This window comes from Homo sapiens, chromosome 19, assembly GCF_000001405.40.
Source record: "Homo sapiens chromosome 19, GRCh38.p14 Primary Assembly".
NCBI lineage: Eukaryota > Metazoa > Chordata > Mammalia > Primates > Hominidae > Homo > Homo sapiens.
In genome coordinates this window covers 44,070,464-44,094,360 of record NC_000019.10, presented here as the reverse complement: position 1 = coordinate 44,094,360, position 23,897 = coordinate 44,070,464, and the positions used below count along the sequence as shown (strand labels likewise).

The window sequence follows — 23,897 nt, the reverse complement described above, 5'->3', positions numbered from 1 at the left end:
ACCGAATGTTTGGACTCCACTTCCCAGAATTCCCCGGGACCCGCCAGCCGGAGCCAAACTGACCGCGACTCCACTGAGCGTCTGGACTACACTTCCCAGAATTCCCTGGGACCCAACTGCCGGAGCTAAACCGACCGCGATTCCACTGAGGGTCTGGACTGTACTCCTGCAGCATTACACTCAAAGGGAAGTGTTGACGACTACTGGGAAGCCCTTGACCACTCTTCCCACGGGGAACGAATCTCGTACCCCCGAGCGCCTGTTGGGAAATGTGGACTTCTACCCTGAGAGTCGTCCTTCCCTCTCCCTGGGTGCCTAAGAGAAAATACCGTATAGAAAGGAATTCCTGAAGTCTAAACCCCTCTAGTGAGGACAGGAGTGTTACTGGAAAGGGAACAAGCGAGATGATACACTCTTCAAATAAGTTTTGCCAGTGGTAAGAAATGGCATGTAGTTTTAATTTATAACTCTTGTAAAGATGGCATATTCTTGCATATTTTCAGGTGTCATTATTACATTTTTTGTAAATTGTCCAGATGTTTTGCCCACTTTCTTATTGAGTTTTTGGTTTTATCCCTCACTTTTCAAGCACTGTTCTTATATTCATGATATTAACATTTTATCTCGCAAATATTTTCTCAACAAAAACGTTTTTTTTTATTGTTTTATCTATGCAAAACATTTTAATGTATTTTATTATTTAAAACATCTCTATTGAGGTGTAATGCACAAAACGTGAAATTCACCATTTTAGGATATATGTAGTACAAATAAAAAGTTAGGAAACATTTTCATCACCCCAAAAACCCCATACCCACTAAGCAGTCACTGTCTAACACTAATCTCTGTCCTATTGAATTACCTATTGTGGACATTTCATATAAATGGAATTATACATTATGGAACCTTTTGTTTCTGACACCTTTCACTTAGCATCCTGCTTCTTTTTTTTTTTTTTGAGACGGAATCTCAAAAAAAGTGCCAGGCTGGAGTGCAGTGGCACGATCTTAGCTCACTGCAACCTCCGCCTCCCGGGTTCAAGCGATTCTCCTGTCTCAGCCTCCCGAGTAGCTGGGACTACAGGCGCGTGCCACCACGCCTGGCTAATTTTTCTGTATTTTTAGTAGAGACGGGGTTTCACCGTGTTAGCCAGGATGGTCTCGATCTCTTGACCTCGTGATCCTCCCGCCTCGGCCTCCCAAAGTGCTGGGATTACAGGCGTGAGCCACCGCGCCCTGCCAGCATACTGCTTTTAAAGTTCATCCACATCACAGCATGTACCAGTACTTCATAATATTTTATGTTTCTACTACGATTTGTTTTTTTTGTTTGCTTTGTCTTGTTTTGTTTTGAGGTGGGGTTTCCCTCTTGATGCCCAGGCTGGAGTGCAATGGCACGATCTCAGCTCACTGCAACCCCCGCCTCCTGGGTTAAAACGATTCTTCTGCCTCAGCCTCCCAAGTAGCTGGCATTACAGCCATGCGCCACCACACCCAGCTAATTTTTTTGTATTTAGTAGAGACAGGGTTTCACCAGGTTAGTCAGGCTGGTCTCGAACTCCTTACCTCAGGTGATCCGCCCACCTCAGCCTCCCAAAGTGCTGGGATTACAGGCTTGCGCCACAATTTGTTTATCCATTCATTGATTGAGGGACATTTGGGTTCTTTCCACCTTTTGGCTGTAGTCAATAGTGTTGCTACAAACAGTGGTGTACAAGTATTTGTTTCATCACCTACTTTCAATTCTTTGGGGTATATACCTAGATATGAAATTTAGTGATTCATATGGTAATTCTATGTTGGGAACCACGAAACAATTTTCCACAGCAACTGCACCATTTTTACATTCCCACCTTCAGTGTGTGAGGGTAGTAATTTCTCCACATCCTCTCCAATACTTATTTTGTATATATGTATGTATAAAATATATATGTATATGTATATGTGTGTGTGTATAAATTGAAAACGGGGTCTCCCTGCGTTGTGCAGGCAGAATTGCAGTGGCTATTCACAGACAACATCTCACTACTGATCAGCATGGGAGTTCTGACCTGCTGTGTTTCCACCCTGGGCCAGTTTACCTCTCCTGAGGCAACCTGGTAGTCCTCTGCTCCTGGGAGATCACCATGTTGATGTCGACTTAGTGTGGACACCCAGTGGGCATAGCTCACTACACCTCAAAACTCCTGGGCTCAAGCGATCCTCCTACTTCAGCCTCCCAAGTAGCTGGGACTGCAGGTGCCTGCCACCACATCGGCTATTTTCTATTTTTAAAGATGATAGCTAACATAGCTGTTGTAAAATGGCATCTCATTATTGGTTTGATTTGCATTTTCCTAATGACTAATAGTTGAGCATCTTTTCACATAATTGTTGGTAACTTGTATATCTGAAATTTCTATTTGTATCTTTGCCCATTAGAAAATTGGGTGGTTTCTCCTCTTGTTATTGAGTTGTAAGAGTTCTTTCTTTCTTTTCTTTTTAAGAAACAGAGTCTCTCTTTGTTGCCCAGGCTGGAGTGCAATGGTACATCACGCCCCACTGCAGCCTTGACCTCCCAGGCTCAAACAATCCTTCTGCCTCAGCCTCCTGAGTAGCTGGGACCACAGGCATGGGTCACTATGCCTGGCTACCTTTGTTTTTTGTTGTTGTTTTTTGTTTGTTTGTTTGTTTCTTGTAGAGACATGGTTTTCGCCATGTTGCCCAGGCAGGCCTCAAACTCCTGGGCTCAAGTGATCCACCCATCTCAGCCTTCCAAAGTGCTGGGATTATAGGTGAGAGCCACCTCACCTGGTCTAAGAGTTCTTTATATATTCTGATACTAGAAGAATTCATGCTCTTGACAATGTCTCTGTATGCATAGCATTTTTTTTTTTGCTCTAGTCCAATTTATGTGGGGTTTTTTTAGCTTGTGCATATGGTGTCTTATCTAAGAATCCATTCCAAATAAAAAGTCTTGAAGATTAACCTTTATGTTTTATTCTAAGAGTTGTATAGCTTAACCTCTTATATTTAGGTCATTGATCATTTTGAGTTAATTTTTAAGTATAGTGTGAAGTGCGGATCTAACTTCATTATGTTGCATATGTATATATATTTGCCCAGCATTATTTGCTGAAGAGACTATGCTTTCTCCATTAAGCAATCTTGGATCCTTCTTGAAAATCAAGTGACTTTAGATGTATGAGTTTCTTTATGGACTCTAAATTCTATTCCATTACTATAGCTTGGTAGTAAGTTTCGAAATGAAGTGGGAGCCATCCATCATGTTCCTTTAAAAAAGAAAGATTTTGTCTATTTGCCTCCATTACAATTACATATGAATTTATGAATTGATTTCTGCAAAAAAAAAAAAGGCTGTTTGGATTTTGATAGTGATTGCAGTAAAACTGTAGATTGGTTTGGGTAGTACTGTCATCACAAAAATGTGAAGTCTTCCAATCCATGAATGCCTAGACAATAAGCGAATTCAGCATGATCATAGGATACATGATCAGGATACCAAAATTAATTTATATATATTATACTAGCAATGAACACACGGAAATCAAAGTTCATACCTAGATGGAAGTTTGACAAAAGATGTACAAGGGTTGTAAGATGAAAATTACAACACACTGATGAAGAAAATCCAACAATATTAAATGAATGGAGACACATTCCATGTTTGAGGATCGTGGGACTCAATATAGCAAAAATGTTCATTCTCCCCAAATTGATACACAGGGTTAAAATAATTACTATCAAAATTCCAGCAAGATATTTTGTAGATATAAAATTATTCTAAAATTTATATGGAAAGGCAAAGGAACTAGAATATGAGTATGGTTAGGGTTGTCTTCACAGTTGAAAATCTTTCATTTAACCAGAGACATTATAGGGGAGACACTCTGTAAAAAGCTGGTCTCAAACTCTTAGATTCAATTGATCCTTCTGCCTCAGCCTCCCAAAGTGCTGGAATTACAGGTGTGAGCCACCATGCCTGGCCACTTACAAGAGACTTACAAAAGTGAGGCACTAAATTATTAAAGTAAAAATCAATAAATTTCCTTGAAAAATGCCCTGTATAAATGTGATTATTGTATTTTCAGCTTCAGTTTGATTTCACATCACCATCAAAATCAAGGAGCACATAAAAGAAAGCAAGCTTGTTTACTTTTATTTTTATTTTTATTTTTTTGAGATGGAGTCTCACTCTGTCACTCAGGCTGGAGTGCAGTGGCGTGATCTCGGCTCACCGCAACCTCCACCTCCCTGGTTCAAGCAATTCCCTTGCCTCAGCCTCCTGAGTAGCTGGGATTACAGGCACACGCCACCACCACACCCAGCTAATTGTTTTGTATTTTTAATAGTGATGGGTTTTCACCATGTTGGCCAGACTAGTCTCAAACTCCTGACCTCAGGCACTCTGCCCACCTCGGCCTCCCAAAGCGCTGGGATTACAGGTGTGAGCCACCGCACCTGGCCAAAAGCAAGGTTATTATACTCACTTTGGCACGGGAGAAGACCTCTCATAACCAGCAGACAATTTTCTCAGAAAACCTATGTGTAATGAATGTGGACAAGGATTCGGTGATGGCTCTAGACTTGAAATTCATCACTAACTAGATTTAGGAGACAGCCCCAATATCTTTAATAAAATATATGGGCTTTAACGATAGCTGAGTTTTTCCCATTCATGAGTTTTCATCCATAAGCCCATCACCTTGTCAGTGTTGGAAACTTCAGAAATGTGATGCACCTTCAGATGGATTAAAGTCTTCACGTTTATTAAGGAGTCCATGACAATGCTACATCTTTTACAGATAATGAGTATGGTTAGGGTTGTCTTCACATTTGAAACCCTTTCATTTAACCAGAGACATTACAGGGGAGACACTCTATAAAAAGTATGTGCTTTAAATATTCCTGCTTATGTTATGTTCATCTTTATGCCAATATTTTTATGCTGTCCAATTCATCAGATTTTCTTTGTTGTTTAGTGATTTCCACGCCCCCCACCCCCAAATACTAGCCTTCCCAAGTTTGTGGAAACAGTGTACTATTTTGTTATAGAAACTAAAGAAGATCAATCAGGGGTGGTGGTCCATGCCTGTAGTCCCAGCTTCTCAGGGGATTGAAGCAAGAGGATCACTTAGGCCCAGGAGTTCGAGGCTATAGGGCACTGTAACTGCATCTGTGAATAAGCAATCCAGCCTGGGCAACACCGAGAGACCCCATCTCAAAAACAAAACAAAACAAAACAAAATGCTGTGCGCATGGCTCAGGCCTGTAATCCCAGCACTTTGGAAGGCTGAGGAGGGAGAATCGCTTGAGCCCAGGAGTTTGAGACCAATTTGGGCAACATAGTGAGACCCCATCTCTACAACAAAAATTTAGCCAGGCGTGTTGTTGCATGCCTATAGTCCCAGCTTTTGAGGGGCTGAGGCAGAAGGATTTCTTGAGCCTGGGAGGTCAAGGCTGCAGGGAGCCGTGATCATTCCACTGCATGCCAGTCTGGGTGACAGAGCAAGACTGTCTCAAAAGAAAAAAAAAAAAAAAGCCAATTCTTGCCTAATAATGGTCAGAGTTTATAGTGGTACAACCAGTTTGAAATACTTTTCGGAAGTATCTACTAAAATTAACATATTCATATCTTATAACTCTTTGCTGTCACATATATCACATTATTAAGGTTTCTCTACAGAACAGACACTGAATTTGAAGATGTGAGCCCTGACTGAAGCATGTACCACAATCTCCACACTTCCATGGTTTTTCTCCAGTGTAGATCCTCTTATGCATATCAGCATTCAAGTGATCCAGCAATCCCACTACTAGCTGTATATCCAAAGGAAAGGAAATCAGTGTGTTGAACTCCTATCTGCACTCCTATATTTATTATAGTACTATTTGCAATAGCTAACATATGGAACCAATCTAAGTGTTCATCAACAGAAAATGGTAAAGAAAATGTGGCATACATACACAAAGGTACACTATTTAACCATAAAAAATAATAAAATTCTGTCATTTATGGCAAGATAAAGATAAGCTTTGGAGAACATGATGTTGAGTGATGTAAATTCAGGCCCAGAAAGATAAATACCACATGTTTTCACACATATGTGGAAGCTAAAAAGTTGACATCATAGAAGCAGCATAGCATTGGCTGGGCACGGTGGCTCATGCCTGTAATCCCAGCACTTTGGGAGGCCAAGGCAGGTGGACCATTTGAGTTTGGGAGTTCAAGGCTAGCCTGGCCAATGTGGTGAAACCCCATCTTCACTAAAAATACAAAAATTTTTAGGCATGGTGGGCATGGTGGCTCACGCCTGTAATCCCAGCACTTTGGGAGGCCGAGGTGGGCGGATCATCTGAAGTCAGGAGTTCAAGTCCAGGTTGGCCAATATGGCAAAACCCCATCTCTACTACGCATACAACAATTAGTCAGGTGTGGTGGCGGGCGCCTGTAGTCCCAGCTACTCGGGAGGCCAAGGCAGGGAAGAATCGTTTGAACCCAGGAGGCAGAGGTTGCAGTGAGCCGAGATCAAGCCATTGCACTCCATACTGGGCGACAGAGCGATACTCTGTCTCAAAAAAAAAAAAAAAAAAGTACAAAAATTAGCTGGGCGTGGTGGTGCGTGCCTGTAATCCCTGCTACTCAGGAGGTTTAGGCAGGAGAATCGCTTGAACCCAGGAGGTGGAGGCTGCAGTGAGAAAGGATCATGCCACTACACTCAAGCCTGGAAGACTCTGTTCTCAAAAAAAAAAAAAAAAAAAAAAAAAAGCAGAAGCAGCATGGCATAGCAATTACTAGAAGGGAAAAGTAGGAGAGAGGGTGGATGATGAAAGATTCGTTAACAGATATGAAAGTACAGTAAGATGATGAAAGGAACAAGTTCTAGTGTTCCACAGCACTAAAGGTGACTATAATTAATAATAACTTATTTTCAAATAACTAGAACAGCAGTTTTTGAACGTTCAAAGCACAAAGAAATGATAAATGATCCACAAATAAATGATAAAGGAGGTGATGGATATGCTAATAACACTGATTTGATCATTATACATTGTATACATGTATTGAAATATGCTGTAACCCATAAATATGGACAATAATTATATATCATTTAAAAATAATGATAAAATCATATCTAGATTCAAGCGCCTCTCGTAGCGCTTCCCACAGTCCTCACATTTGGATGTTTTTTCTCCACTGTGGTCGCTTTGTTGGTCTTGAAGGCATGAACTGTGCTCACTGCTCTTCCCACAATCCTCACATTGGAATAGTTTTTCTCTGCTGTGGAGTCTTTGATGGGTTAGATGAGTTGAGGCCCATCTGAATCCCTTTCCACACTCCTCACATTTGTAAGGCTTTTCTCCAGTGTGAATTCTTTGATGGAAACGAAGTTTTGAATTCTCAGTAAACCTCTTCCCACACTCTTCACATTTGAATGGTTTTTCTCCAGTATGGAGTCTCTTATGTCTCAAAATACCTGAGGCCCACCTGAAGCTCTTTCCACATTCCTTACAATTATAAGGTCTCTCTCCCGTGTGGACCCTCTGGTGCAAGTCAAGATTAAACTTACTAATGTAGCCCTTCCCACACTTCTGACATTTATACAGTTCTTCTTCTCTATAGGCTCTCTGATGTGAATGGCCCTGTGAATTCATATAAAATCTCTTCCCACATCCGTCGCACTTGAATGTTGTTTCTCCATTGTGGACCCGCTGATGTCTTGAAAGACATGAGGACCACCTGAAGCCCTTCCCACATACATTACAATTATATGGTTTGTCTCCTGTATGGTCCATCTGATGCTTACAAAGATCTTGCCTACAAGTGAAGCTCCTTCCACATTCTTCACATTTGTATAGTTTCTCTTTTGTGTGGTCCATGCAATGACTATTAAGTGCTGATCTCTGACCAAAGCTATTACTACAGGTATCACATCTAAATGATTTCTCTTGCATGTGGACCATGGAATGCCTATTAAGATTTGATCTACTATGGAAGCTCTTACCACATATATAACATTTGAATGGCTTCTCCCCAGTATGGATTCTTTGATGTTCCCGAAGCTGGGAATTGTGAATGAAGGCCTTCCCACATTCCTCACAAATATGAGGTTTTTCTCCTGTGTGTAATTTGCAATGAACATACATTCCTGATCTACGGCTGAAACTTTTCCCACACTGCTCACATTTGAATGGTTTCTCTCCAGTGTGGATTCTCTGATGAGTTTGCAGTTGTGAGTTCTGACTAAATGCCTTACTACACACATCACACTTATAGCGTTTCTCTCCCATGTGAACTTTCTGATGAAGACAAAGAGCTGAGCTATAACAGAATCTCTTCCTGTACTCATTACATGTATGGGATATCTTTCCTGAGTGTAATTGTTGATGAAGATCAAGGATGGAGACATCACTGAAGAATTTTTTACACTTCCCATGCTCAGAAGGTGTCTCTCCTATGTGAATTATAGATAGTCCTGCGTCAACCTGGGAGGGGACATCACCTTGTGTGGAGAACTGAGAGCTACTTATGGAGTCTTGAGGTCTAGTTAACTCACTTGCAGTTTGTTCCCAGATTTGCTGGCAAGACCACTCTTCATGTGGTCCTGTTTCTGGAACAGACTCCAACTCAGTTTGGATCTTGCCTCCTATAAGGACACAGAATTAAGAGATGTGGGTAAGTGAAACCTTTGTTCAGTGTTTTCAGGATTTCACTTAGGACATGGCCTGAAACTTTACTGAATACAAGGAAGGTACAGTTTGTGTTTTCCAAGTGCACCACGGTCTCTCGTTGTCACGAAACCAATTTTGAATGACATAATGTCTCATACGTGGTAGAAATGAAAGACTTAATTTAAAATATTAATATAATACAGTTAATGTGTTACTATTTCTACCAATTTCCTAGTTAGTCTAAAATCTTGCATGGTATATTATGTAACTACTAAATTATATATGTGATGAATCAGAAGGAACGTTAAGGGTAGGAGGACTTCAAGATGGCTGACTAAAGACACCCAGAGCTTGCGTCCTCCACAAAGAGCCAAAATAATGAGTAGTGCTCACTTCAGCAGCACATATGGTAAAACTGGAATGATCAGCCCCTGCACAAGGCCGATATGCAAATTCATGAAGTGTTCTATATATTTTATTACTAAAAAATTTAAAAAGCAAATAGATACTCATACATCAAATAGCATCTAAGAGGGATCACTGGAATTCAGCAGAGAAGTGACAGGAAACACCCGAAGCACAAAAGGAGAGCGAAGGGAGGTAGCCCTTCTGGCCGTGATCACCTGAAAGCCGGGAAAGGCTCCTAGTGCTGGGAAAGGGTAAGTGAGAGAGCCCTAGTGGTTTACATTTCCGCTGTGCACTCCAGCAATCAGCCATGAGAGAGGCCCTCGACCCCTGTGGGCCCTGAGACTAGCACAGGGGGCTACCTGGAGTCCATGCAATGGCACTCAGAGAGGGTACTCATGATGGGACCCACACACTTCCTGAGACTCAAGCAGCTATGGCACAGCGCTATTTTGAGAGCTGCACCCCCACCAGACTGCATCTTGCCCTGGGGCCCAACAGCCTTTGCATCTCCAAATCCCTGAAGCCCCATGGACATGCCCCCACATCCACCCAGAGGGTTACAATAATGCCTGTTAGACCCAGCAGTATGGCAGAGTCCCCAGCAATCTAGGCCACATAGTGTCCCATACTCTAGGGAATGGGCCGTGAAGGACACCAGGGAGGCTGCCCCCAGTACAGTACAAAGGGACCCAAAGTGTGTGCACTCACCAGAGCTTGAAAGCTGCCTGTCTGGGGCTGCTGCCTCTAACGGCAATGCTACCTCACCCCCAGCAGCAGGGCCACTGTACACTCATATGTGTTCTCATTCTGAGGAAAGTTTCTCTGCACACTCTGCCACTGCCACCCAAGCACACCTCCTAAAGGCATGGGGAGTCCCTTGCACTGCCCACCACAACCTGTGCCCGTGCACAGGACAAGCCCACTTCACTTGGTACCGCCCATCTCAGTGCCAGAGCATGACACAGAGGGACCTGGGGATTGCTCTACCCTGTGTTGCCTCAGGCACATGTGTGCACAAACAGGAGACCTGACAAAGACCCAGCTTGTGTGCTGCCAGTGCTGGAGCATGCCATCTGGGGACCTAGGGATCACGCCGCCTCTTCCACCACAGCCTACATCTGCCTGCACCACTGAAAGGCCTGAGGACAGGCTCACCTGGCCTGGCGTCATTCCTCCACTACCTAAGCATACCACCTGGGGCTGTTGAGATCACCCTGCCATGTTGGTTGCCCCAGGCATGAGCATGTACCATGCAGGGAGCTTTACAACAGACCCAGAACCCTGCCGCAGGTGCCCAAGCATGCTGTCTGGAGACCTAAGGATTTCCCTGCCCTGATCACCACCACTGGCATCTGTATACTCCTCCTAGTGACCTGAGGACAGGTCCTACAAGCCTGCTGCCACCATCACCGCTGACACTCACCTGCACACACCATGTGGGGGCCTCAGGACTGGCCCACCCAGCCCATCACCACTACCTCTAACACCGGTACACATAGCCTTAAAACCTGAGGGTTATCCTGCCACCACTATTGGGTACTATGCTCAGTACCTGGGTGACAGGATCATTTGCAATGCAAACCTCAGCATCACACAATATACCCAGGTAACAAACCTGCACATGTACCCCCTGAATCTTAAAATAAAAATTGAACAGCTAAAAGTCCTCCTCTTAAGACATTCCATTCCAGTGGGTAGAGATGACAGCTAAATAGAAATATATAAGACACAGTATAAGACAACACCAGAAGGGTAAAGATAGGATGGTATTCCATTCCCTCTCTCTCTCTCTCTCTCTCTCTCTCTATATATATATATATATATATATATTTCTTTATTTATTTTTTGAGACAGAGTCTCATTCTGTCACCCAGGCTAGAGTGTAGTGGCACAATCCCAGCTCACTACAACCTCTGGCTCCTGGGTTCAAGTGATTCTCACGCCTCAGCCACCCGAGTAGCTGGGATTACAGGACTGTGCTACCACACCCAGCTAATTTTTATATTTTTAGTAGAGTCAGGTTTTGCCATGCTGGCCAGGCTGGTCTCAAACTCCTGGCCTCATGCTATCTGCCTGCCTCAGCCTCCCAAAGTGCTGGGATTACAGGCATGAGCCACCACGCCCGGCTGGTATTTTAAATAGAGTGGTCAGAGAAGGCCTTTCTCATGATATTAAAACTGAACAGAGACCAGAATAAAGGAAGGGTCAGAAGGTCTTGAGGTGAAAGAGTATTCCAATCAGAAAGAAGAGCATATATAAACTCTAAGACAGAAGCTTCTGTAGTAGACAGAACAATGGTCCTTGAAAGATGTCCACATCCAATTCCCAGGACCTATGAACCTGTTATGTTATATAGCAAGAGATATTAAGGCTGCAGATGCAATTAAGGTCACTAGTCAGCTAAAGAGAGAGTAAGAAGGTCATTCTAGATTATGCAGGAGTGACCAATCCAATCGCAAGGGACCCAAAATGTGGAAAACAGAGGCTTAAGAAGGGTGGCAGATGACTATGGAAGAATGGTTAGAGATGCAATGTAGCTGCTTTTGAAGATGGAGGAAGGGAGACAAGAGCCAAGGAGTGTGGACAGTGCCTAGGGATTGGTAAATTAAAGTGAAGGCTTCTCCCCAAGAACATCTAGACAGGAACAAAGCCCTAGGGACACCCTGATTTTTGTCCAGTGAGATGTGTCAGACTTCAGATCTGAAGAACAGAAAGATAATTGTTTGTTGTTTAATCTGCTAAGTGTGTGGTCACTGGGTGACAGCAACAGGCAATACAGTGTCCTTGGCAGGATGGAGAAACAGCAGGGAGTACAACGTGGCTGGAAAATGGAGATGTAGTCAGAGAGGCAGTAGGGGATGAAGAGCAGATCAAGGGTCTCTAAAAGGCACTTAAAGCAGTTGTAACATTAACACAAATAAGAAGCCATAAAGGCTTTTAAGCTGAGGAATGGCAATCTGACTTACATTCCCTAAGGATCACTTTGGCTGCTATGAGGAAAACAGATGTCAGGGTGGGAAGAGGGGGTGGGGGAGCAGGACAACCAGCAGGAAGGAGGTAAGAATCCAGGAAACAGGTTTGGCCATTTATACCAGGGCAATGGAGTTGGGCAATGGACAGAAGTAAAACAGATGGAAGGGTCACGTACAAGGATGCATCGTTGCTTGGTTCTTACCTGAATTCCCTTCTCTTTGGGTTGCTGTCTCCATGATCCAAAACTTTTCTTCTCTTTGGAAGTGAAAAGTATCTCGGTGGGAAAGTTGATGCCCTGTGAACAAAGTCACATGCTTAATCCCAATACATCTTAGGTAAAATTTACTAGAAATTTAGGTTCTCACTGCACACTCGAACTTGAACACTGATATGGTTTGGCGGTGTCCCCAAATCTCATCTTGAATTGTAGTTCCCATAATCCCCACATGTCATAAGAGGGAGCTGGTGGGAGGTAATTAAATCATGGGGGCAGTTTCCTCCATGCTGTTCTCGTGATAGTGGATGAGTTCTCACGAGATCTGATGGTTTTATTTTATTTATGTTTTTTGTTTTTGTTTTTGTTTTTGTTTTTTTTTGAGACGGAGTCTCGCTCTGTCGCCCAGGCTGGAGTGCAGTGATGCGATCTCGGCTCACTGCAAGCTCCGCCTCCCAGGTTCACGCCATTTACCCGCCTCAGCCTCCTGAGTAGCTGGGACTACAGACGCCCGCCACCACGCCCGGCAATTTTTTTTGTATTTTTAGTAGAGACGGGGTTTCACCGTGTTAGCCAGAATGGTCTCCATCTCCCAACCTCGTGATCTGCCCTCCTTGGCCTCCCAAAGTGCTGGGATTACAGGCATGAGCCACCGCGCCCGGCCCTATCTGATGGTTTTATAAGGGGCCTTTTCCCCTTTGCTCGGCACTTCTTCCTGCTGCAATATGAAAAAGGTGCCTTTCTTCCCATCGGCTTTCCACCATGACTGTAAGTTTCCTGAGGCTTTACCAGCCATGCAGAACTGTGAGTCAATGAAATGTCTTTTCTTTATAAATTACCCAGTCTTGGGTATTTCTTCATAGCAGCATAAGAACAAACTAACACAAACACCCTAGGATACAAAGCCATTCCTGGGGCCTGATGTTCCATTACAGAGGGTGCCTGTGCTCACCCACTGATAGCAGGTTTCTGAAGTTCTCCAGCATGACATCTCGATACAGCTTCCTCTGGGAAACGTCCAGCAGCCCCAGCTCCTCCTCGGTGAAGACCACAGCCACATCCTTGAAGGTCACTGCCTCCTACAACAACAAACGTATGCAATCTCAATCTCATGACCAGTGATTCCTGGGAGAAGGGTGGCAATGAGCAGGTGAAGGGGATGGGTGAGAAGTTGCTGTGGATCTTGAAAGATGTAGGTCAACATACAGATTTCCCATTCATTCTGTCTGTATCCTCGCAATGACACTGATTTTCCAGAGCTCCACCAGAAGTGCAATGATGAAAAAGTCCCATAGGTTTACTTTGTGCACTTATTAAGTCTCCTTGTAAGTAACCCTCTAGGACTCTAAATGCAGCATCCTGGGCTGCACATATATAGGTTTCAATGAATCTTGCCAGTTGCTCCAGCAACATTTAGCAATTCAGTCTTAACTTTGTTTGACAATGCCCAGGGTTCTCGTACTTGAACCCTGGATGTAATCATTTTTCTTTCTTTCTTTTTATTTTTTGAGACAGAGTCTCACTCTGTCGCCCAGGCTGGAGTGCAGTGGTGCGATTTCAGCTCACTGCAACCCCTGCCTCCTGGATTCAAGCAATTCTCCTGCCTCAGCCTCCTGAATAGCTGGGATTATAGGCACCTGCCACCATGCCCAGCTAATTTTGTATTTTTAGTAGAGACCATGTTGGCCAGGCTGGTCACGAACTCCCGACCTCAGGCGATTTGCCGGCCTCGGCCTCCCAAAGCGCTGGGATTACAGGCATGAGCCACCACACCCGGCCCATTTTTTTTTTAATATCTGCCAAACTAACAAGTTTACAGTGACCTGTGTGGGACAGCCATGGAGTGGGTCCTCTGTATTCAAGACGCAAACTACATATATTAATTGCAGCACTGAATGTCATGATCTGGAGCCAGTGTGCCTATGATCACACTGAGTGTGTGTGCTCACTCACAAGGCTCAATCCCAAGGCTCTGTGCCTTTGCCTTCCCAGCCACGTGACCTTGGATAAGTTTGCCTACATGCATTCGTTTCCTTTCTGTATAAAGACTGTCACATCAGTTTTCTCCAGGAATAAGCAAGAGAATATAAATGGGGAAAGTCTGTGGCACAGACTAGGTATTTAATTAACATTAGTTAATTTTATTACCTTTTTGTCTTTTTTTTGAGACGGAGTTTCGCTCTTGTTGCCCAGGCTGGAGTGCAATGGCGCAAACTCAGCTCACGGCAACCTCCACCTCCCCAGTTCAAGCAATTCTCCTGCCCCAGCCTCCTGAATAGCTGGGATTACAAGCATGCGCCACCATGCCCAGCTAGTTTTGTATTTTTAGTAGAGATGGGGTTTCTCTTTTTTTGCTGTTTTTTGTTTTGTTTTGTTTTGTTTTTTTTGAGATGGAGTCTCACTCTGTCCCCAGGCTGGAGTGCAGTGGTGCAATCTCAGCTAACGCAAGCTCCGCCTCCTGGGTTCACACCATTCTCCTGCCTCAGCCTCCCGAGTAGCTGGGACTACAGGCGCCCACCACCACACCCGGCTAATGTTTTGTATTTTTAGTAGAGACAGGGTTGCATCATGTTAGCCAGGATGGTCTCGATCTCCTCACCTCGTGATCCGCCTGCCTTGGCCTCCCAAAGTGCTGGGATTACAGGCATGAGCCACCACACCCGGTGGAGATGGGGTTTCTCCATGTTGGTCAGGCTGGTCTCAAACTCCCGACCTCAGGTGATCTGCCCACCTCAGCCCCGCAAAGTGCTGGGAATATGGGCGTGAGCCACCGCACCTGGCTGGTAATGTCCTTTATTCGTATTTCTTTGGATTTTTTATTATAACTTTCATTATAGTTATCTATTTCATTTCATGTCTGCATACTATTACAGGGAACTGATGATCTATCTTTATTCTAAATAATGAATATTTAATTTTATGTAGTTTTCATTAATACCAATCCTGCAAAGAAAATCATGTATGTGGACCTTACTCTCCCGTCTGATCATTGAAAATAATTTTGGCCAGGTATGGTGGCTCATGCCTGTAATCCCAGCACTTTTGGAGGCCGAGACAAGCAAATCATTTGACCTCTGGAGTTCGAGACCAGCCTTGGCAACATAGCAAAACTCCGTCTCTACAAAATATACAAAAATTAGCCGAGCATGGTGGCACGTGACTATAATCCCAGACACTTGGGAGGCTGATACAGAAGAATCGTTTGAACCCAGGAGGCGGAGGTTGTAGTGAGCCAAGATTGCGCCACTGCACTCCAGCCTGGGCAACACAGCAAGACTCTATTTCAAAAAAGAAATAAAATAAAATAATAATTTAGTTTAATTTAATAATTTCAAACCAGGTGCAGTGATTCACACCTGTAATCCCAGTGCTTTAAGAGGCTAAGGTGGGGGGATTGCTTGAATTCAAGAGTTCAAGACCAGACCAGGCAACACAGCAAGACACCAACTTTATAAATTTTTAAAACTAGCCAGGCATCGTGGTGCGTGCCCGTAGTCCTAGCTACTTGGGAGGCTGGGGCAGGAAGATCTGGACCCCAGGGGTTCAAGGCTGCAGTGGGCTACACTTACATCACTGTACTCTATCCGAGGCAACAGAGCAAAACTCTGTCTCTAAAGAATAAGAATAAACTATAATACAATAATTTCAAATGAAAATTAAAGTGTCAAAAAATAAGAATGTTTAAAATTGTGATCATATATGTCAGATCTCAATTTTTTCTCAAACTCCAAAATCTTTCAAGGGGATATATTACCCTGGTTTTTCTTAAAATAGCCAAAAGCAGATTATCAAATTTCCTGTGATTTTGATAATCTCATTAGAGAGAATTCACCTTATTAATCCCATGTATTTGAATATAAATAATACTATCACCTTTTCAAATATGTATTGGCCACTTCTATTTCTTCTCTAAAATTTACCAATTAATGTATTAATGTCCTTTATTCATATTCCTTTGAATTTTTTTCTCCATTCTGTACATAAGATTCTTATTTTGGATTATGTCTTTTTTAGATATCAAAGTGGTAAATATTTTCACCTTAGGCTGTTATATTCCCTGGTAACACTCTATAAGCCATCTTTGCCATTAGGAATTTAAAGATTTTCTATAGTGAGTGTAGCAATCACTGTCCTTTGGTGCCTGGAGTACTAGGTGCACCTGAGGAGGTGGCACAACAGGAAGAGAAGAGGACCCCCGAGGAGGGGTCAGGGAGGAGCTATGTCACCAGTGGTTGTCATCACTCAAGAGGGCACTCCAGACACCCATACCAGAAGGCATAGGTCCTTCAATGGAGAATCCTCTTTCTTCTTCTCTCTCTCTTTCAATTTAGCAAAATAGCTAACATGCCGACCCTAGGTTTCCTCTCTGAACCTCAGCAGGTTTCTCATATTTCACATATTTAAGAGGAAGATGAGGCTGAGAACTGCATCATTCAGCTGTTCTGAGGAACAAACAAAGGAATAGAACACAGTGACTAGAGAATCTTCTGATATCATGGACATTTGAAACTAAAGCTACCAAAACTAAAAAACTAAAAAAAAAAAAAAAAAAAAAAAAGACAGAAAAATGATTACATCCAGGGTTCAAGTACGAGAACCCTGGGCATTATCAAACAAAGTTGAGACTGAATTGCTAAATGTTGCTGGAGCAACTGGCAAGATTCACCGAAACCGATATATGTGCAGCCCAGGATGCTGCATTTTGGTCAAACTCCTTAATACATAAAGGAATAAGAAAAGACCAGTAAATAACATACACACAATGCATGACTTAAGCATGGGGAAAACAAAAGCTAGCTCTTCCTATGTGAAAATCTCCAGAAATCCTTGTGTGAAGCCACAGTTACAGCCTGCTGTGCCATGCCACATATGGATATTTTATCTACAAAACAACCAACGTGGCACATGTCAAAAGTACTCTTTCAAAACTGAGCTCCTAGTGCCTGTGAGTATAAAGTAGTTAAAAAGAAACATCGGCAGGTGCAGTGGTGCACACCTGTAATCCCAGCACTTTGGGAGGCTGAGGCAGGCAGACCACTTGAGGCCGGGAGTTCAAGACCAGCCTGGCCAACATGGTGAAACCCCGTCTCTACTAAAAATACATATATTAGCCAAGTGTGGTGGTGAGCGCCTGTAATCCCAGCTACTTGAGAGGCTGGGGCAGGAGAATCGCTTGAACCCGGGAGGCGGAGGTTGCAGTGAGCCGAGATTGCGCCACCACACTCCAGTCTGGGCAACAGAGCAAGGCTCTGTCTCGAGGAAAAAAAAAAAAAAAGGAGCATCAATTCAATGGGAACATGATGCAACCATAAATAATGAATATTACATAATATTAAACACAAAGAACACAATTTAAATTAGATAAGTATCAATACAAATACAGTTATGAATATACATGAGGAATAGCATGAGAAAATAAAAATGCCTAATTAGTGAGAAAAGATGTAGTGAAATGGGAGAATTGTTCCTTCCCACTAAATTTCTACTCATAACATAAATAATGGTAAAAGTAAACAAAATCAAATCCAAACGCAAATTCAACACAAAAGAAACAAGGAAGCATCTGGCACACAACAGGTGCACAAATAACTGTTGTTCTCCTTGAGTCTTCCCAAGACCGAGAAAAACATGTGACAATCTTAAGTAGCAAAACAGAATCTGAACAGCAAAAGAGACCAGACTTACTCACCTTGAACATGGTCATTTTTCCTCCTTCTTTGGGGAATTTGCAGAGTTCTCAGTTATGCAGTTCAAGAGAAGACAGAATTGTGCCTGAAACATGCCATGGAAGGCAAAAAAAAAAAAAGAGACATGAAGGGGTGGTCAGTGATGCCACCCAACAGTATGAACATGTGTTGTGAATTAGCACTTGAATGTTCACAGGGGCATTATTCATAATAACCCAAAATTGCACACAACCAAAATGCCTTCCTATGGGTAAATGGACAAATTGTCGCCTATCCATACAATGAAATCTTACTTGGAAATTTAAAGAAATGAAATATTGACTCATGCTACAACATGCATGAACCCTGGAAACATTATGTTAAATGAAAGAAGGCAGTCACAAAAACCCATGGACTGTGTGATCGCATTTATATGAAATGTTCAGAATAGGCAAATGTATCATAGAGAAAGTAGATTAGTGGTTGCTTCACATTTGAGATGAGAATGAGGTTTAACTATAAATGGGCACAAGGAGTCCAACTGGGAGATAAAAATGATCTAAACTGAATCATGATCATGGTTATTCCACTTCACAAAATTCCTAAAAATCACGGAGTTCCATGCCTGAAATGGGTGAAAGCTATATGTGAAATACATCTTGATAGAATTGGAAAAAATAATTGTTAATCTACATGTCATTGAAATCAGTAAGACTGAATTCTGAGTCCATATCAATAGAATATTTATAGTTGAATGAAGGAATGAATAAATGGGGGAGAAATGGAAACTCTTCTTTACAGTAGAATGTCCACTAATCATGTATCTCCCCATAAGGAACTTTATTATTTTCAAAATTTAAAAAAAGTAACTTCACAGTGGACAAATCTGAAAGACTTCATCTTGGCCAAGTGAACAAAGTTGAGATCACCAGTGAAGGGACAAACCAACATCATTTGGACACTGTTAGGTTGCAATGAAAAGGACATCTCACCACTACTATGGTATCCCTGCCAATCATGCATACTCTAAACGTAAACATGAAATTTACCAGACAAACCCCAAATGAATGTCTTTCTGCAAAACAACTTGCCTATACTCTTCAAAAAACCATGCATATAAAAGACAAAGGCTGTGGAATCCTTCTAGATTAAACAAAAGTATAGAAATGTGACAATAAAGACAATGCATAAAATTGGACTTTGAATGGGGTTACAGGTAAAAAGTGGGGCAAGGGATAGTTATAAGGACCAAAAGAAGAAACTGAATAAATTTAAATATGGAAGCTGCAGATTAGATAACAACGTTATGTAATATGGTATCCAACACTATCTAATAAATGACACTACAACTACTATTATTAGCTTTTTAACAGATGTGATATGTAATAGATAACAATATTATTTAATATAATATTTAATTATTTTTTTGAGACAGAGTCTCACTCTGTCATCCAGATCAGAGTGCAGGGGCGCCATCTCAGCTCACTGCAGCCTCTGCCTCCCAGGTTCAAATGATTCTTATGCGTCAGCCTCCCTAATAGCTGGGATTACAGGCGCACGCCCCCTCAAATTTTAAAAAAGTAACTTCACAGTGGACAAATCAGCTAATTTTTGTATTTTTAGTAGAGATGGGGTTTCTCCATGTTGGCCAGGCTGGTCTTGAACTCCTGGCCTCAAGTGATCCACCTGCCTCGGCCTCCCAAAGTGCTACAATTACAGACATAAGCCACCATGCCTAGCCAGTATAATATCTAATAGTATCTAGCATGTTATGTGAAACCCTATAACCAGCCCTTTCTAAACACCTCTTACCAAGACACCCCACAATTATCTTGAAATGTGGGCTTCTTTGCTGCAGAAAGCTACAAGCAACTGTCTCTGGCTACAGGTATGTTCCTGGTGGTATCTGGGTGATCAGCAAGAACAAAGCAAACAGGAAAAATGTAAACATTTGGCAAATTTGGGTAAAGAGTATATGAGAATTTCTAACACTATTTTTGCAATTTTTCTATAGGTTTCAAATGATATGAAAATAAAACGTTAAATATTTTTTTTTTTTGAGACCGGGAGGCAGAGGATGCAGTTTCGCTCTTGTTGCCCAGGCTGGAGTATAATGGTGCAATCTTGGCTCACTGCAACCTCCGCCTCCCGGGTTCAAGCGATTCTCCTGCCTCAGCCTCCCGAGTAGCTGGGATTACAGGCATGCGTCACCATGTCTGGCTAATTTTGTATTTTTAGTAGAGATGGAGTTTCTCCATGATGGTCAGGCTGGTCTCAAACTCCCGACCTCAGGTGATCCGCCCACCTCGGCCTCCCAAAGTGCTGGGATTACAGGCGTGAGCCACCATGCCCGGCCAATATCAGGAAACATTTACCAAAAAAAAAATGAGATAACGATGAGATAAATTAGGATGAGCATGATATAACATGTAAGTTCACTAGCTATTTCCCTCTTGGCAGTGTTTCCAAATTTCCATAGTTAAACACATAAGGGAAAACACATTTTTTTAATCATAAAATTTTGTTTAAATGTTTATAAATAAATATGCAAATATGCCAAAGAAAGACCAAAAAGAAATGCACCGGGTGCGGTGGCTCACGCCTGTAATCCCAGCACTTTGGGAGGCCGAGGCTGGTGGATCATGAGGTCAGGAGATCAAGACCATCCTGGCTAACACGGTGAAACCTCATCTCTACTAAAACTACAAAAAAATTAGCCGGGCGTGGTGGCGGGCGCCTGTGGTCCCAGCTACTCACACAGGAGGCTGAGGCAGGAGAATGGCGTGAACCTGGGAGGCGGAGTTAGCAGTGAGCCGAGATCGTGCCACTGCACTCCAGCCTGGGCAACACAGTGAGACTCTGTCTCAAAAAAAAAAAAAAAATGCACTCGAAGTTTAACAGTTACTATCTTTACATGCTGGATTCATGGGTAATTATAAACTTGTACTACTCGTATTTCTCCAATTTCTGAACGCTCCACAATCATACCGCTGCATAACAAGTGAAATATTTGTAATAAATGAAATAGTTCTAATGAATGAAATAGTTGATAAACTCCCAGAACAGTCCAAGCCCATAAGCCTTGCTCTCAAGGCTCCCTTCAATCAAGTCCTAGCTTGCTTTCCCCACTAGATTCCAGCTAGTTCCTCTGCCTCAATGAGAATGTATCCAAAAGATTATCAACTAAGGCTCTGACCTGTAACGCCCAGGTTTCAACCGCAGCTCCACCTCTTACTGCTTAGGTGACTATTCTCAGATAACTCCTGCTCCTTTGTATCTCACTCATCTTTAAAACTGAAAAAAGTAGTACCTCTCCACAGAGCCACGGTGTGGCGAAAATGTGACTACTTGTATAAAGCTCTTGGGATAAAGTTACCAATTGAGGCTTAATTATTATCAACACCCATGCCTGAGGACACATCCTACACTCTTGGTCGGGGTGAGCATCTCTGTAAAAGAAAAAAAGCCAAGGACCACTCTCGTGGAACTTTGCCCTCAGTAGCCAAGAAGTCCCTCCCTGCAGCTCTTTTTGAGAATCAGGCTGGGGAAGGAGAAAGCTGTGAAACACCCTGACCGCATTGCCGTCCGGCATAAAAGTTAAATGTTCCTCTCCCTTCGTGGAAATGGAAACAACCCTCGCCTTCCTAAAAAGAGGTCAGAAGCGTCCGGGATCACCCAGCGTCCTGCAGGAATCAGAGACAAGGGCGGGGATCCCTGCAGATGGAGCTCTGACCCCACCCGGGGACCTGACAGGCTTCGTGGGAAATAAACACTAAGAAGAGACCACCAGTCACTAAGGGAGGGGCTGCTTTAAGGCTTTCATTTGTGTTACCTCTTCCAGTTCCCAAAACGATTTCATTAGGATGGTCCTAAAGTCCCCATTTTAAAGAACAGCAGTGGGAGGTACAGGGAGATTAATAACATCCCAACCCTAAATTGTGAGAAAGTAGCCTCACAGGTGGGATGGAGGGAGGCGGACTGAGCGAGCTGAGAGCCCCAAAAACCCTCAAACCAGGCGAGACGCGTCCCGACCAAGTCCCAACCCCCAGCCTCATGCCCGGGGACGCGAGGACAGCCCCAAGACCAAGAAGGCTCCGCTGACAAGAACGAAAAGAGAGGCCGTTGTCCCTCCAAACCTCCGTTTTCCAACGAGACTCCTTCTCCCCTTAGTCAACTTCCAGGTGGTTGCGAGCCAGCATCGTAAGGGGACACGTTTAGAAGGACCGACAAGACACAGGACTGACACCAAACTACCACCGAATGCACTGCAGCAACCTCGCCCCCCGGGAGCGGAAGTGCCCCTACCCCGCGCAGCGTGTGAACTACATTTCCCAGAATTCCCCGGATACGCCGTCCTGAGCCTACTTGCTCGTCATTCAACAGATCTCCTGCGCTACACTTCCTTGAATCTCAAAGGAGACGTTCTATAGTATCACCTTCCGGCGGGAAGCGTGGGACTCCGCGGTGCTCTTTGACTACACTTCCTGCAATGCCCACGAGGAATGAATCCCATAGACCCAAGCGCCTGGTTTGGAATATGGACTGTGGCCCTGAGAGTGGTCCTTCCCTCTCCCTGCGTCCTCGAGAGAAAATATTGAATAGACAGGAATTCCTGAAGTCTACACGCCTCCCATGATGACAGGAGTGTTACTGAAAGAGAACAAAGCAAGGAGATACAATCTTCAAGGAGTTAGCGGGGAGTGACTGTGGAGCGGTCAGGAGATGGCTGAAAGGCTAATATACTAGACGCTAATAGTATGAGGCTAAATCTAAGAGCTTAAATAATGGGCCAGGAAAAATGGTTTGGGAGAGGCATTGAGTGGGGCACCAGCCCCTGGTACAACCAGACACTGTTGTACCACTGGTTTGGCAAGAAAAACAACCACAGTTTAAGTGTTTAAGAGGGCTGTAAGAGTTAAAGAGAAAAAAAAAAAAAACACGAAAAGCGGCTCAACAGTCAAAGACAGGTTCGTTTTGGAGAATAAACCGAGAGGGCCTTCTGGCCGATTGCAGTCAGGAGCGCTCTCTCTTACGGACTAAGAGTATGTATTGGCTTTAGGGAGAGAGAGCTTACCACAGGCTTAGAATGTTTCTGTATTGGGGAGAAGTCTGTTGTGGGGTTGGAATATCTCTGGTTGGAGGGGAAGTTATCTTGGGACTGACATCTCTCCAATGGAAGGGAGGTTATCTCGGTGCTGGCATGTCTCTGGTCAGGGAGGGGTTTATCTTATGGTTGGAATGTTTCTGATTGGAGATGTCATTTGTGGTTTATGGTCATGCTGACCTTAGCCATTAGGCTGATGCCCTTTGGATTTAGGCAGTTTTTGATCAACGCGAACTTTAAAATGGCAGTGTTTGTCCAAGATGGCGATGCTCCTGCCCTGTCAAGGGCCAATATGGAGGGCCAATTGCCCTCCTGGAAAAGCTATCTTCCCACTTTTAAAGTTTTCATATTAATATTCTTTAGACGTGGAAATGCCACATTTAAGAGAAATTAAACTGCTTAGTATTGTGAAAGGAAAATATCTTGGGCCCCCAAAATCACTAAGGAAATCTCAAGCTGGAAATCGCTTAGGGCAAACCTGCCTCCCATTCTATTCAAAGTCACTCCTCTATCTGTCCTTGCTATCACGAGAACAGCATGGGAAAGACCCACTCCCATGATTCAATTACCTCCTACTAGGTCCCTTTCATGATATGTGGGAATTATGGGAGCTATAATTCAAGATGAGATTTGGGTGGAGACACAGCCAAACCGTATCAGTATGTGTAGATTTCTTATTTTCCATTATTACTTAAAAGAAAGCACGTTTCTAACTCTTCTATGGTCATGTAACAACATATCCTAGAAATCACTTCATGTACAGTACATTCTTTTTAGTGCTGCGTAAACTAGAAAATCCAGAAATAAATTTCTACACCTACAGTGAGCTCATTTTCAACAAAGGTGCTAAGTATATATAT

General features: G+C 43.2%; 1 protein-coding gene and 1 pseudogene across 4 annotated transcripts, besides 1 other annotated feature; one reads left to right on the top strand and one right to left on the bottom strand.

Moving 5' to 3' along the window:
- Positions 81 to 190: an enhancer, noted in NCBI's record as "active region_14752". NCBI's record gives its function as "activates an Ori minimal core promoter by ATAC-STARR-seq in GM12878 lymphoblastoid cells {active_cell/tissue: GM12878}" and the evidence as "EXISTENCE:reporter gene assay evidence [ECO:0000049][PMID:35858748]".
- Positions 4,748 to 22,202, bottom strand: ZNF284 (zinc finger protein 284). 4 transcript variants are annotated; one of them, XM_011526908.4, is made up of 6 exons: positions 22,070 to 22,202; positions 19,746 to 19,839; positions 17,957 to 18,039; positions 13,220 to 13,346; positions 12,256 to 12,348; positions 4,748 to 8,647 (listed from the first exon to the last, which is right to left on the bottom strand). In XM_011526908.4, the coding sequence occupies exons 3-6, from the start codon at positions 17,969 to 17,971 to the stop codon at positions 7,101 to 7,103; spliced, it is 1,782 nt and encodes a 593-aa protein (XP_011525210.1). In that variant the 5' UTR covers positions 17,972 to 18,039; positions 19,746 to 19,839; positions 22,070 to 22,202; the 3' UTR covers positions 4,748 to 7,100. The 4 variants fall into 4 exon arrangements, with proteins under 4 accessions (XP_011525210.1, XP_024307254.1, XP_011525209.1 ...); XM_024451486.2 differs by lacking the exon at positions 19,746 to 19,839 and having other exon boundaries at positions 21,766 to 22,202; XM_011526907.4 differs by lacking the exon at positions 19,746 to 19,839 and having other exon boundaries at positions 22,036 to 22,202.
- RNU6-902P (RNA, U6 small nuclear 902, pseudogene) lies at positions 9,058 to 9,148 on the top strand (annotated as a pseudogene).
- Positions 22,203 to 23,897: the final 1,695 nt, after the last annotated feature.

Bases quoted from the DNA above. Each gene is read 5' to 3' on its own strand.
- ZNF284 (XM_024451486.2), bottom strand. The intron at 12,349-13,219 runs GTGAGCACAGGC...CTTTGTTCACAG, and splicing joins CAGAAACCTGCTATCAGTGG to GGCATCAACTTTCCCACCGA. The intron at 8,648-12,255 runs GTAAGAACCAAG...GTGTCCTTATAG, and splicing joins CCAAAGAGAAGGGAATTCAG to GAGGCAAGATCCAAACTGAG.